General features: G+C 50.8%; 1 protein-coding gene across 13 annotated transcripts in view, besides 1 other annotated feature; it reads right to left on the bottom strand.

Moving 5' to 3' along the window:
• LINGO1 (leucine rich repeat and Ig domain containing 1) overlaps nt 1-14,728 on the bottom strand; it is a 207,874-nt gene that overhangs the window by 59,988 nt on the left and 133,158 nt on the right. For 12 of the 13 annotated variants that reach the window (NM_001301186.2, NM_001301187.2, NM_001301189.2 and 9 more), the window contains one exon: nt 4,075-4,160. The exons of the other annotated variant lie outside the window; for it this stretch is intronic. The gene's annotated coding sequence lies outside the window, so the exon portion shown is untranslated. The remainder of the gene's footprint in view (nt 1-4,074; nt 4,161-14,728) is intronic. 13 annotated transcript variants of the gene reach the window in all.
• Nucleotides 4,260-4,785: an enhancer, noted in NCBI's record as "H3K27ac-H3K4me1 hESC enhancer chr15:77969616-77970141 (GRCh37/hg19 assembly coordinates)". NCBI's record gives its function as "activates a minimal SCP1, AML or CMV promoter by ChIP-STARR-seq in primed H9 embryonic stem cells {active_cell/tissue: H9 hESC(primed)}" and the evidence as "EXISTENCE:reporter gene assay evidence [ECO:0000049][PMID:30033119]".

Consider the following 14,728-nt stretch of genomic DNA (forward strand, 5'->3'; position numbering starts at 1 on the left):
GCAGGGAAAGGACGCTTACCCAACAAACAGTGCCGAAACAACTGCAAGTCATTTGGGAAAAAACCACTTAGATCCCTACCTCAAACCACACACAGAAATACATTTCAGATGAACTAGAGATTTAAATATTTGTGAATATCATAAACAACCAGAAAACAGTATAGGCCAATATTTTTAAAATTCTGCAGTGGGTAAGGCCAGGAACTCTAAAGGAAAGGAGTGATAGACTTGAACACAGGACAATCTAAAACTTTTAAGGGGTTAAATACATCCCATAAACTTAAATGAAAAAAAAAAACTTGTGAATAATGATTTGCACATATGCCAAATAAAGAGTTAATTTCTTTAACCTCTTCTAAATCCACCTGCTCTTGCAAATCAATAAGATGCATTTCACCGCCCCAATCGCTGAAACTATGGTCACCTGTGACCTCGTTACCGAGGCAGTGACCAGTTCTCAGTCTGCATCCTTAGCCCCATTTGACACATGCTTGAAATGCATCTTGCCCTTGGCGTCCAGGACATACATGCCTGGTTCCTTTTCATCTCACTGGGTGTCCCTTCTCAGTCACCTTTTCTGTTCCCCCTCAGCTCCCCACCCTCTAACTGATGGAGGTCTGGGGGTTGGGACATTGGTCTTTTCTGTCTACTCTCCTTCCATGCTCTCATCCAACCTCATGGCTTTAAATACTATCTTTATGCTGATAGCCCCAAATTTGTATCTCTAGCCCAGACCTGTCCCCTGGACTCCAGTCACATACATCCACCTGTCAACTCCATGGTTCTGCCAGGCTGTCTACAGGCATCTCACCATTTACGTGTCCACTGCTAGGGCTGGCTCACAGATGTGTGACCTGGGCTGTGCACTCAGAAGGGCCCCAGGCTTCCTTTAACGCTCTATTGTCACCTCCCACTTTGAAATTCTTAATTTTTTTTTAGCAAAAAGTCACCCGTTTTCACTGTGCTCTGGGTCCCACACATTATGTAACCATTTTTTCCAAATGACTCACGGTTGTTCAGCACTCCTGTCCACCACTGAACCACTCCTCTCCCCTACACCAACCCGCTCCTCTCCGATCTCCCCATCTCCATCTATGGCAACCCCACCCTCCTAGATGCTTGGGCCAAAACCCCTGGAGTCATGGTTGGCTCCCTTCTCTCTCTCTCACACACCACCTCATCCAATCTGTCAGCAAATCCTATTGGCTCTACCTTGAGCATACATGTGGAATCCATCCACTTCTGCCCACCTCCACCAAGACTCCCTGGTTCAGTCCTCCATTGCCTCCTCCCTGGATCACTGCAACAAACAGCCTCCTGTCGGATCTCCCTGCTTCACAGCTGCCAGAGGGATCTGGTTAAAATGTAATTCCAATCATGCCATGTCACTACGCAGAACCTTCCATGGCTTTCCCCACTTCATTTTGGGTAACAGTCAAGTCCTCCAGGCGGCCTGCAGGCCCTGAGTGATGAGTGCGTGGTCCCTGTTCGGCTGCATGGCCCACTCTCTCCCTCACTCACCCTGTTCTGGCCACACCAACCAGCCTTCTTGCCATGTCCCCATAAGCCAGGTCTGCTCCTGACTCAGGGTCCTCAGACCTGCTGTTCCCTCTGTTTGGAAGGCGCTTCCCCCACAACATCCACCCAACTCAGTCTCTCACTTCTTGCTGGTCTTTACTTAAATGCCACCTCTCGAAGAGACCTTCCATGACGACCATGTCCAAGTTGCCCAACACTTCCCATCCCCCTCCTCTGCTTGATTTTTTTTCGCCTTAGCACTTAACACTCCCATACGCATGCTGTATTTTTCCTTGTCTGTCTCTCCTCCATCACAGCTTACATTCCTTGGAGCAGGTATATTTCGTGAGTTTTGTTCACTGTTCGGTCCCTAACCAAAACAATGTCTGACACATAGTAGGTGCTCAGTAAATACTTCCTGAATGAGTGGATACAGCAGCAGAGGACTTGACATCAACAAGCAATTTACAAGTGAAGAAACAGAAATGGCCAACAAGCATATGCAAATATGCTCAACCTCATTAGCAGTCTAAGAAACATAGAGTAAAATCATTTTTATCTGTCAAATTGGCAGGGATTAAGTGATTAATAATTCCTATGATTGGCAAGGGTGAGGGAAAGGGGCATTTTGCATACAGTTTGTAGGAGCATAAATCAGCTCAGCCTTCTGCAGGTTGATCTGGCTGTCCAGAACAAATCAAATGTGGAAATGTGGGTGCCCTCTGACTCAGGAAGTCCATTTCCAGAAACATTCCCAAAAGAACTACAGCACAAGCACACACAGATGTGCAAACCCAGAGGTTCCCTGAGTGAAGTTTATAAATAGCCAAATGCCAGAAACAACCTAAATGGCTGCCAACAGGATTAATAATTGATGAATGATTTGTAGACCATCATACAAGGGATGTAAAAGGGTGGGGAAGAACTCTATGGAAGGACCCGGGATGATCCATATGACATTGTTAGGTAAAAAAATCAAGTGCTGGAGCAATATAACTAATATGAGCCCATGTTTTTCCTTTTAAAATACGTTGATAAGTACATAGAAAAAAGTGTGGAAGGGGACATATCAAACGAGTTATCCGTGTTAGCTCTTGGGAGGAAAAGACTACAGAAGGGGCTTGAACCGCATGCTTTAAATACCGAGAGATAGATGGATAGACGGATGAATAGATAGATAGATACATACATAGATAATAGGTAACATATAGAGAACATATTACCTTAATAATCAGAAAAATGATTCTGCTTAGGGAGAAAATACCTTCTGTGACTCCCCAGTATTAAAGGGTGCAGAAGTAAGCCATTCCAAGCCCTCCATAACCCGTCACTGCCTCATCCCTGTTACCCCCATCCCCACTCTGGCTCCCCAAAGTGCTCTGGGTTCCAAGCTCATGAAGCAATTTTCTATTCCTGGTTCCTTTCACAGCTCCATGCCTGTCTCTCAGCTCTGTTCACAGGCACAAAGGCCCAACCCGCCCTGTCCCATGACCTCCTCAGCCTGGGCTCCGCTGTCAGAGAGCCAGAGGGGGGAAGACGAGGAACCTTACAGCACTCCCAAAGACCAGGACTACTGCCCCAGACCCCAGGTCTCTGTCCTAGGGACAGCCTGCGGCAGCTGGGGGATCAGGAAATGCCCTTGATTGTGGCCTGGGCAGGCTGGCTGCCCCTGGCTCCAGGACACCCACAACAGCCACTGGAGGCAGCTGATCTGAGGCCAGGGTGAGCCCAGCAAGGAGGTCTGGCCAGAGGAGAAGGGAGACTGGGGGTTTAGCCCCCCAACTTGGGTTGCCAGATTTGGCAAATAAAATTGTATGTGCCATGTAATATTTAAGATATATTTACACTGAAAAATTATTTGTTGTCTATCTGAAGTTCAAATTTAACTGGACAGCAGTATTTTTTTTCTGGCAACCCTAGCTGCTACCCCATCCTATTCCTTGGGGGATTTGGCACCAGGCCGAAAGCCTTCACCTGGGATGTCCAGGAGTGGCGCAGAAATGGCCTATCTCAGGCCCACCACAGAGGGGGACTGAAAGTTGAGACAGGCTCGCTCCGGGTGCTGACGATGTCCCACAGAGAGCTGGGAACTTCCAGAATTAGCACCATCAGGCACTGCACTGGGCAGCGGCGGTGAAAAGGCAGGTGAAGGCAAAGGGAGACCAACCTGGGAGCAAAACCTCCTACAGCCAAGGCACTCGGCAGGTGTGTGGCGCAAAACAAAGCCTGAGCAAAGACAGACAGTGAGCATAGGACAGCAACGCTGGGGTTGCAGGGATGGTGTGTCCCAGTGCCTCTCAGCATCCCGGGGACAAAGCCTGGTGAGGAAGAATGGCTGAGGCGTGGCCTTCCTTCTCAGAGGTCAGGAACTCCTCCACAGGAGGCCCCTCTGCTGCTAGGGCCTTCAAACCCCACACTGTGTCCCCCACCATGGCCCCTGGCAGGGGCTCATTCGCTAAACGCCAGCCTGAGTCAGGGGACCTGGTCCTCACACCCAGAGCCTCCCACCAAGCACAGAAGCATGAGGCAGGGTGAGACTGCCTCACTCTCCCCTACCTGGGTCAGATGGCGTTGGGAGGCAAACAGACTGGCCTCTGGGGGCCTGGGGTGCGGCAGCCTGTCCGTCGCGGTCCCAGCATGCACTGTGCGGGAAGAGCAAGAAAGTTAGTGGGGCAAAGACAGGGCTTCCTGCTACCCCAGGTGAGGCCCACCTCAGCACAGCTCCCCACAGTGGATCCCCATTGCCCAGCCCAGTGGGCCTCAGGTGCTGCCTCCCAGCACAGCACATGCTCCTCAGTGCCATCCCTACCCACTTCCCAGCACCCTGGAGTGGCCAGCCCTTAATGGATCACACCCTCAGGAGCATCAACTCCCTGGCCTGGCATTCAAGGCCCCGTCTAAGCCCCTAAACTTCTCACTGTCTCTCCATGTCCTCCAAAGGTCAGCCCACCTCTGCAAGTTTTGTTCACGTGCACAGATACACAGATGGACAACCCCACCCCATTCTCTCTGAGACTCCCACTGCTACCAACAAATGTGTCCCCTGCCTCCTGGAAGCTTCACTTACAGGTCCTCAGCCCCAGCACCGCTCAAGATCCCCAGCAAGGTCCCCAAGGACCCCATCAGCACCCCCAGCTCTCCCGCCTCAGCCTGTGGTCTCTGGCAGCTGACCCCGCCTTGGGAACACCCTCTCAGTGACACCCCGATCCACCCTTCCTCATTCTTCACTACACCCCCATCACTCATCCTAGACATGGCCACAGGTGCTGTCTCCCTTCCTCCCTCCTCCCTCCACCCTCCTCCCAGACCATCCTGCCCACAACTGTGCTTCAATCACCCTCTGCCTATGCCCTCAGTGGCACCCACCATGCCCAGAGGAGGGTGAAGCCCCTTAACCTGGCCCACAGGGCACTGCCCAACCCAGCCCTGACCTGTGGGCCACCCTCACCTCCCCTCCAGACCACACAGCCACCTGCCACCTCCTCAGAAAGCTCTGTGACCACCTCCTTCTCACAGTCTCCAATGTCCTCCATAGGCCACCCTGGAGGAAGCCATCCTCACCGTGTCTCACTGCCCTGACAGACTGACTTGTTATTTGGTTTTCCTTGTTTCAATAGTCCCACAGCAAACTTTTTCCATCAGGTTTATTGAGGTATAATTACCCCACAGTAAAACTGACCCTCTCTAGTGCACAGTCTATGAGTTTTGACAACTGCGTGTGGCTGTGTAACCACTATGGCCATCAAGGTACAGAACAATCCTGTCACCCCCAAATCCCGGCATGCTGTCTCTTTGTAGTCAACTCCTCCCAGCCCCTACCCCTGGCAACCACTGATCTGTTTTCTGTTCCTGTTGTTTTGCGTTTTCCAGAGTGTCATACAAATGGAGTCATCTAAACGTAGCCCTCTGAGTCTGGTTTCGTTCACCCAGCATAATGCACTTCACATTTATTAATATCTGTGTTGCCTCTTGAATCAGAATGTCTTTCTTTTTTGTTGCTGCATAGTACTCCGTTGTTTATCCATTCAGCAGTTGAAGGGCATTTGTGTTGTTTCCAGTTTTTGGAGATTATGAATAAAGCCACTATAAATATTCACATACAGGTTTTTGTGTGAATGTAAGTTTTTATTTCTCTTGGTTAAGCACCTAACAGTAGGATTGCTGAGTTGTGTGGTAAGCCTATTTTTAACTTTATAAGAAACTGCCAAACTCTTTTCCAAGTTGGCTATACCATTTTGCATTCCCACTAGCAACCTAGGAGAGTTCCAGTGGCTCTGTACCCTTGCCAACACTTGGTATTAGACATTTTCAAAGTCAGTGTAATGATATGTAGTGGTATTGCATTGTGGGTTTTTTTGTTTTTTGTTTTTGTTTTTGTTTTTCTTTAAGATGGAGTCTTGCTCTGTCACCCTGGCTGGAGTGCAGTGGCGCCATCTCAGCTCAATGCAACTTCCACTTCCCTGGTGGGGAAGTGATTATCCTGCCTGATTCCTGAGTAGCTGGGATTACAGATGCGCACCACCACACCCAGCTAATTTTTGTATTTTTAGTAGAGATGGGGTTTCACCATGTTGGCAGGGCTGGTCTCGAACTCCTCACCTTAGGTGATCCACCCACGTCGGCCTCCCAAAATGCTGGGATTATGGGTGTGAGCCACCGCGCTCGGCCTGCATTGTGGTTTTAATTTGCATTTCCTTAATTACTAATAATGATGAACATCTATCTGATTTTTTCTAGTGCCATCACTATTGGAGATAAACATCTTAATTTAATTATTTAAATGATTTACCTATTTACTTTCCATCTCTTCCATCACGTGTGAAAGCAGAGACCTTGGTATTTATTCCCCCAATACCTAGAATAGCATCTGGTACTGGATAATGATGATGACGATGATGGTGGTGATGACGGTTGTGGAGGTGGTGATAGCTAACATTTACAGAGCCCTTAGCATTTGCCTAGCACCATTCTGAGTGCTTTACTCATAGTAACTCACTTAGTCCTCACAACCGCCCCAAAAGACAGAGATGCTATCAATACTCCCATTTTACAGAAGAGAAAACTGACATAGAGAGAGGCAACTAGCCCAAGGTCACACAGTTAATAAGGGGCTGAGCCAGTCCTTGATCCCAGGTGTCCTGGAGTCAGAACACCTGACTAGGTCCTTGGCCAAGCCCTAAATGCAACACCCATGGAGGATCCATTGTCCTTGTAAACTCTGTATCTGGAAGCTCCCTGATGAGCTTCCCACTAGAATCCATCCTCTTCTTCACCTTCTGGACAGTGTAGATGTGATCAGGATATTACATAGCCCATAGCAACCACTCGATATGCCCCAGGTGGAGAGAATAAACAGGAGTCACAGCCGTGGCTCTTCTGAAACCTGGCTCTGAAAATGGTCCCACAACAGCCTTTGTACCAGAGAATTTTATTGCTCACTGAATGTCAGCACATTTCCTTGGCATTTCCTCAGCCTCTTTAGAGTTAGTTGGGCCATATGAGAAGTTCTGCCCAACGGGCTGTGAACAAAAGCGATGCGTGTCATTGATGAGCCAAAGCATTTCAGAGCCCGTGCGTGACCTCATCATTGTCTCTTCTCTGCCATGGTGACTGGAGGCCACATGTTCTGGAAGGGGCTACAAGATGATGGAGCTCCTGGCAGCCTAGGTCCCTGAGTTGTTGTGTGGACCAGAGCTCCACTACCCTGCCCACATCCCACACCGGGCATGGAATGTGAGTTCATGTGGTAAACGGAGGAAGGAAGACAGCCTTTGTCACATGAAATCACTGAGAGTTCAGAGAGTACCGGTTAGTGCAGCACAACCTTGCCTATCCTACAAAATCCCCACTGCCCCTTTGGGGGCAGGTCACCTTGCTGCATATGTTGTTAGAACACGTTTGGGTGACTTTCTGAGTGAGAGAACTAAGTCCCATTTGGGAGCCTCTAAGTAACTAAAATTTCAGTGGGGGTAGAATAATCTCACTTCCCAAATTCAAGAGTTCCCTATCCACGAGGAAAAGGGGGAGCTTCCAGGTCCTGCAATGGGCTCCACCTGCAGGACCTTCCCCACATGCAGAAGGGAGGTGTGAGCTGAGGCAGGTAGTGGCATCTCCATGAGAGTTGGGGCCTACGCCTAAATTCGAGGGCCTGAACTTGACTTTAGAGCAAAGGCTGGGGCATCTCCAGAGCTTTTTCCTTGACTTGGGTCCAAGACCAGCTCCCAGAAAGGCTCTGGGACCCCCAACTCATCTGTCCACAACTCAGGGAGATAAGGAAAACTCCCGCAGGGCCTTGGAGTGCAAACTTAATTGCTGGTTTATATTTTGAACTTACTGGTGTTTTACTTTGGCAATTATCACCTGAAATGTTGTGTGCTCCTGTGGGACAACACGAGGAACAAGGAGAAGATGCTACCCCTTAAGGTAACAGGGGCACTAGCAGGCGACCCAAGGGAAAGCCCTTCCTGTTGATAAACGCCCCTGCGACTTCTCACTTTCCCCAATAAGTAAGACTTGGCTGCAGTGGAATCCACCCACCAAGAATCAACAGGTGTGACTGATCCAGTGCAACCAAAAACAAAGTCATACCGGAAACCAGCAGTCTCTGCTCCATTCTTTGCCTCGAGCATCTATCTACTTGGGAGTTAATTTTGATGATGAGAAATTCAAAATGGTACATTTGGTTATTTCTGTGGGTTTTTTTTTTCTTTGTAAATGAGACCTGTTTAATTGGGTGCAGGCTGAGGTTTTCATCCTGCTTGAACACCTTTTGCATCCACCATCATGGCCATAGCATTTGCTCAGATAAGCTTAAGATAAGGAACTGGACAGGGATGCAAGGATGGCTCCTGGCTACAGTGGAGTTGGCTGGGCTGGGGTCAGCTCAGACTCTCAGCTCCAAAGTCCAACTGAGCATCTCACTCAGGGAGGAAGGGGTTGTAGGTTTCGACTCTATGGTCTAATTCACAGAGGCCCAGGCAATGTTGTGATGAATGCACAGGCTCTTGGAAAATGCCTGACTAGAATTGCTTTGAGGGAGGAGTCCCTGAATGCAACATGAATCGTTTTCCCTTGAATGGTTTTTGCTGATTGATTGGGCTTTAGTTCACTGTCTGCCAAGGGTGTGGGGGGGCTGAAAACAGAGGACAAAGGTTCAGAGGCAAATGGTGAAGGCAGCACCTATGGGAATGGAGGAAGAGCTGGCACAGGAATGAGGGGACAGGTGGAGGGAGGGTGGAAGGGAGGGGAGTGGAGGAGGGAAAGTGGCAGACACCCAGGTGAGGGGTGAGCACCATTGCCACTGTGGTTGTCATAATCATCATGGTCCCCATAAATCGCACCCAATGAGCCCCCTGGGCTAAGCACTTTCCTTCTGCTAACTCATCTGCTTCTCACACACGCCCTCGAGGAGGGTACCCTGACCATCCTGGTTTCCAGGATGGGGAAGCTGAAGCATGGAAAGGTGAAATGTCTTGAGAGGAATGGGGTTGTTTCAAACCCAGGCAGTCCAGCTCCAGCACTCGTCCCTAAGAGTCCCTGATAAAACCACAGTGGTGAGGTTGGAAATGAATGGAAGCTCCTCCTCGATGCCATTGGCAGAAATTCTGTCTGTGGGTGGTCAGATCTAAGATGGAGAAAAATTCCTCTGCCACTTACTAACTCTGTGACCTTCAGCAAATTACCTAACCTTTCTGGGACTGGTTCCCTATCTCTAATGCCATACTCATATGGCAGTAGAGATTAAAGTGTGTGTGTGTGTGTGTGTGTGTGTGTGTGTGTGTAGTGTCTCGTCTCATACAGTACTTGGTAGAGAATAGGCACTTCACAAAAACCAGACACCCACGGGGCCACGGTACAGTGGCACCAATCTCCAGAATTTCCAAGCATGTACATATGTGTGCACGTATGTGTTCCTATGTCCATGTGTCCCTGCCAAGGTGACCACTCATGTGCACCTGCATGCATTTCGCTCCCTAGTCCTGTCCCCAACTAAGGGTGGTGGTGGCATCAGTCATGTAGCCCCCCAAGCCAAACACCCAAGCATCACTCCAGAGTCCTCTCTTTCCCTCTTTCACCTCGCATCCTATCACCACAGTCAGCCGATTCCTGAATATTTCTCAAACTCATATTCTCCCCAGTTCTCCCCACCCCCTTCTGGGCACAAAGGTCTCAGCTGCTTCCTATCCTCCTGCCTGCAGTCCCCCAGCCACCCCCATCCACACAGTGGCAATCAGAACGGCCTTTCCCAGTCACAAATATGACCTCATCCCCGCTCCACTTAAAACCCGCCCAGGAAGCCTCGCCAGGCCAGACGCGAAACTCCGAAGCCCTGAGGAGCAGCCTGACAGATTTGACTAAATAAAGATCTAAAGCTTCTCTATGACCAAAGATACCACAGACAAAGTTAAAAAAGACAAACAGCAGACTAGGGAAAGTATCTCCAACACACAAAACAGACAAAGTTTTTAAATTCCTAATGCACTAAAAGCTCTTTTATATCAATAAGAAAAAGGCAAAAAGAAAAGAAAAATGGGCAAAGGACGTGAACAGTCCATTCACAGAGGAAGAAACACCCATGGGCAAAAACTGCACGAAAAGATGCTCAGCCTCGCTGGGGAGAAGCAGAGTGAGTGTGGAGACCATAGTGAGATATTTTTCTAGATCGGCAAATATCCGGAAGATTGAGAATGTTCAATGTGGAGGATGGTATGGGGAAATGGTCACTCTCAGATACCAAGGGGGCAGCATCAGCTGGCCCAACCTTGGGAAGAGCAAGGTTGCTATAAAAACTGAGCAAGCAGACCCTTCACCCCGGCCACTCGCATCTAGAAATCTATCCTGCAGAAAGGCTTACGGGTGTCAGCAAGATATATATAAGGATGCTCCCCGAAGCATTATTTGCAAGAGTGAAAAATGGAAGACAATCTAAATATCCATCAATCCAGGACTAGTTACATAAATTATGCTTTGTACAAACAATGGAATATTAGGCAACGATTAAAAAGAACACGGCAGATCTGGGTGCCATGACATTGACTGATGCCCACAATATACTGGGAAGTGAAAAATGGAACTGGTGGGGTAATGTGCATAATATGATTCCGTTTCCTTTTTTAGCAATACACAATAAATATGTTTGCAATAGCACAGAAAATGTTCTGAAAGGAAACATACCAGGCCAACAGCAGTGGGACATGGGCAGAGTGGGCTTTAAAGGCAAAGAGGGACTTTCCTACTTTACAGGACACACTTCTATATTGTTTCCGTTTTTTAATTTTGCTTGAGCAAATACTGCTTTTATGGTAAAAAAAAAAAAAAAATTCCTCCTCCCATAACCCCTCACAGGCTGCAGGACAAAGTTCAAATTCCCTGGCGTGGCACCCTAGGACCCTGAGGACACAGCCTCTGGGCAACCCCAGCTCTGGTCTTCCCTTTTCCAGCCTTACCTTAAATCCAGATGCTCCCAACTCCCTTACATGTCCCCCAAGCTGCCTCTAGGCCTTTGTCCTGTATGGGTCCCTCTTCCTGGAATGTCCTTTCCTGCCTTCTGTGCCTTGCCTTTTAAGTAACTGCTCAGGTGTCACCACCTTCTGGAAACTCTCCCCAAACACTCCCCCACACTCTGCCTTGGTGGGCCCATTGCTTCTGTAACATGTAACAGTGGTGACAGTCGACATTTAGGAAGTGCACCTCGTTCACTGGGGGCTGTGCAACGTGCCTTGCATTGTATTGACTCATTGAATCCTCCTAGCAACCCTCTGAGATAGGTTTATTATCACCTCATTTAACAGATGGGGAAACTGAGGTACAGAGAGGTTACATGACTTGCTCAAGCTCACACAGCCAGTAATTAGAGGGGGTAAGTGGACCTAGGCAGAGGGTCTTATGCAGCCTTCTACTAGTGCTTGGCACACAGGGCTGGAAACTCCTGGTCCCTGTACCTGCCAGGCTCCAAGACTGGCCTGTGAGCTCAAAGCTGGGATTTGCCTTCCCCTGCAACTGCTCCCCCACCACTGCAGAAGCTGGGCACGGTGGAGGGTGCACCAGGGTCTGCTGGGGTCAGAAGCCAGCCCCCGTCCCAAGCCAGCCAGGACTAAATTAGGCTCCCCGGGGCTGGTCTCCTGGGTAGGGGGCTGGGCTGGGGGTGGGGACCAGTCCCAAAACAGCCAGCTGACCCAGGATGGCCAAGGAAATGGATGGGTTTGTAGAGATGCAGTCCCTCCCCAGGCAAGGACCCCAGTGACCTCCCATGCACCTACTGTGTGCCAGGCCCAGGGGGCAACTGGCCCAGGAAGCTAGGGCAAAGAGACTCCCCTGCCCTCCATGCAGCTGCCAAGTCAGACGCAGGGAGGCCAGAAGCCTACAAGGGGCTGGGCAACAAGCTCGGGGTGGTGCCCGGGGAGGGCTCTGGGTTCTGACTGGGTGAGTGCGCACAGGGTCTCCATGAAGGCAGTGGCACCTGGGCCCAGCCTAGAAGGATGGGGGGTGTGGACAGATAGAGTTGGGGGAGGGAAGCTCCAGGGGCCAGAGGCAGCTTGAGCAAGGGCCTGGAGGGGGTGGGTGTGGGGAGTGGGGGTAAGAGTCATTGGTTGTGGCTGGAGCAAGGTGGGAAGCTGCAGGGGATGGGGTGGGTGGGTATGCTAGAGGGCTCTGGAGAAACACGGAGGAGGAGCTGTGCCTCCAGCCCAGCAGGGAAGGGGTGATCTGTGGAGGAGGCAGCTTGACCGAGGATCTGAGGATCTGAGCTTGTCAGGCCAGCTCCGCCTTTGCAGTTAGCAGTGTGGCTGTGGCCTACTTTCAGGACCTTGGCTCCCTCACCTGTGGACCAATAACCCAACCTCACAGACTGCTGAGGGGACTAACTGAGACAGTGGTTTATGGCACCAGGAACCCAGGGAGGCAGTGGACATGTCTGGGGTATGGTGCTCCCTGGGGATGTCTGCCTGTGTACCAGTGAACTTGTGTGCACACATGCCCCTGAAGGCCTCCCATCCCAGAGTAGGTATTCAAACACGTAGAATCCTTGTTTAAAGTATAACTTTAGGCAGGGTGCAGTGGCTCACACCTGTAATCCCAACAGTTTGGGAGGCTGAGGCGGGAAGATCACTTGAGGCCAGGAGTTTGAGACCAGCCTGGGCAACATAGTGAGACCCCGTCTTAAAAAAAAAAAAAACGCCAGGAATGGTGGTGCATCTGTAGTCCCAGTTACTTGGGAGGCTGAAGTGGGAGAATAACTTGAGCCCAGGAGGTTGAGGCTTCCATGAGCCATGATCACAACACTGCTCTCCATTCTGGGTGACACAGTGAGACCCCATCTCTAAAAAATAAATAAGTAAAAGTGTAAATTCAAGATAATGGGATTTCAGACTCTTCCCCTTAAAGCAATGCAGGAGGCAGAGCCCCACGATCCTGAGCAGGTCCCTACTGTCCTGGGGCCTGGGCTTCCCCAGGTGGGTGGTGGGCGGCTGTCTAGGTGGCTTCTCCAGCCCGGCTATTTGGAAGCAGCTGGAGCATGGCAGGAGGGCAATGGGTGTGAGTGCCTGGAAATCCAAAGGGGTGGGACCCGGAATGGGGAGGGGAAGGTGAAGGAGGCAGAAGATCCTCCTTTCTGGGCTAGTCCCAAGCCCTAAGTCTGTGGTCGGAGGCCTCAGCCTGATGTCCCCTGTCCCCCACCCAACTGAGGCCCTCCTCACTCCCCCTGCTCCGAGAACCTCAACCGTGCTGGAAGCCCTGCACCAGCCCTGGATGCCAGGCTGACTGGCCCAGACTCCCCTGACTGGCTCCCCTGCTCCCGCCGATGCTCAGGCTATGTTCACTCAGGCGAGAGTGGAAGAGTCATAAAGAAGCCCCCAGCTCCTACTGCAAGTTCACCCTCAGCAATACCAGCATGCAGGCCTGGGGGAAGGCAAGACCCGGGAACATGCCCAGCCTGGCTACTTCAAGCCAAGGGGCATCAGGCAGTGCCTGTGTTTCTGTTTCTTCTTCCATGGAAGGGATACATGTGCCTCCCTTGCAGGGTGTCATCATCAGCCCAGTGCCCCCACCGTCAACCCTCTCACAGGTAAGTCCCTTGGTTCACCATGAGCTGAGGTGTTCTGGGGGGTCACAGTCAGTTATGCTGGGAGAACACTTACCCTAGACTCTCTAAACTGCCCATGGGCACCATCCTTGCCTCTTCGGGGACCCCATCACAGCCTCCTCAATGGCCCCTGCCTCCAGCACCTCCATCTCCCACCTGCTGCCAGAGGAACACTCTGAATACAGAGCCATGTCCCTGCCAGTCCCCTGGGCCTCCCCCACCTCAGCTCTGATCACTTGGTGCTCTCATCACCTGTTTGCTTGTGCCCCCACTAGCCCTGTGGGCAGGGATCATGGCTGATTCCTCTAGGCAATCCCAGAAACTAGTGCAGGGCCTGGCACAGGAGCCTTGCCCAGAGACAGCAGACTTGGCAGTGGGAATGGACAAACAGGGCCATTTACCCCTTCTACCCTGGCACCTGCTTTTCTATTGGCATATCCACGACAATGCTGAGCTCAGTGTGGGGCCAGGATCAGGGCTCGGTGTAGGACCAGGATCAAGGTTAAGTCTGTTCAGGATCAGGGCTCAGTGTGAGGCTCGAATCAAGGCTCTGTGCGTGGCTGGGGTCAGGGCTTACTGTAGGACCAGAATGAAGGTTCAGTTGATTCAGGATCAGGGCTCAGTGTGAGGCTGGGATCAACGCTCAGTGCGCAACTGAGGTCAGGGCTCATTGTAAAACCAGGATCAAAGTTCAATCTGTCCAGGACCAGGGTTTAGTGTGGGGCTGGGGTCAGGTCTTAATGAGGGACATTTTCTGTCCCCCCCTGTGAAAAGCCCAGGACTCTCTACCACCTTACCCAGGGCTTTGACAATTAACATAACCTGTCCCCCAGGGGCCAGGGCCTGTCTCCTGAGCCCCTACTATGCCTGCCTTCTATCCTGGTTAGGCTGGTCCTATGCTCCACTCCAGGCAGCTGTGCTGGGATTCCCAGATTCCCTCTGCCCTAGCAGAAGTGGCTCGAGCAGGGAAGCTCTTCCTTGCCTCCCCACCTAGCCTTCAAAAACACAGTGAGGACAGTCAGCCTTCTAGCGTGGATGCACTCCCAAGCCAAAGTGAAAAAGTGCTTTGTGGGTTATCCACCCACTGCCACCCACTGCCCCATTCTATTTGCCCAGGTGATCCAGTGCCAG

The sequence above is a fragment of the Homo sapiens genome, chromosome 15, assembly GCF_000001405.40.
Source record: "Homo sapiens chromosome 15, GRCh38.p14 Primary Assembly".
Lineage (NCBI taxonomy): Eukaryota > Metazoa > Chordata > Mammalia > Primates > Hominidae > Homo > Homo sapiens.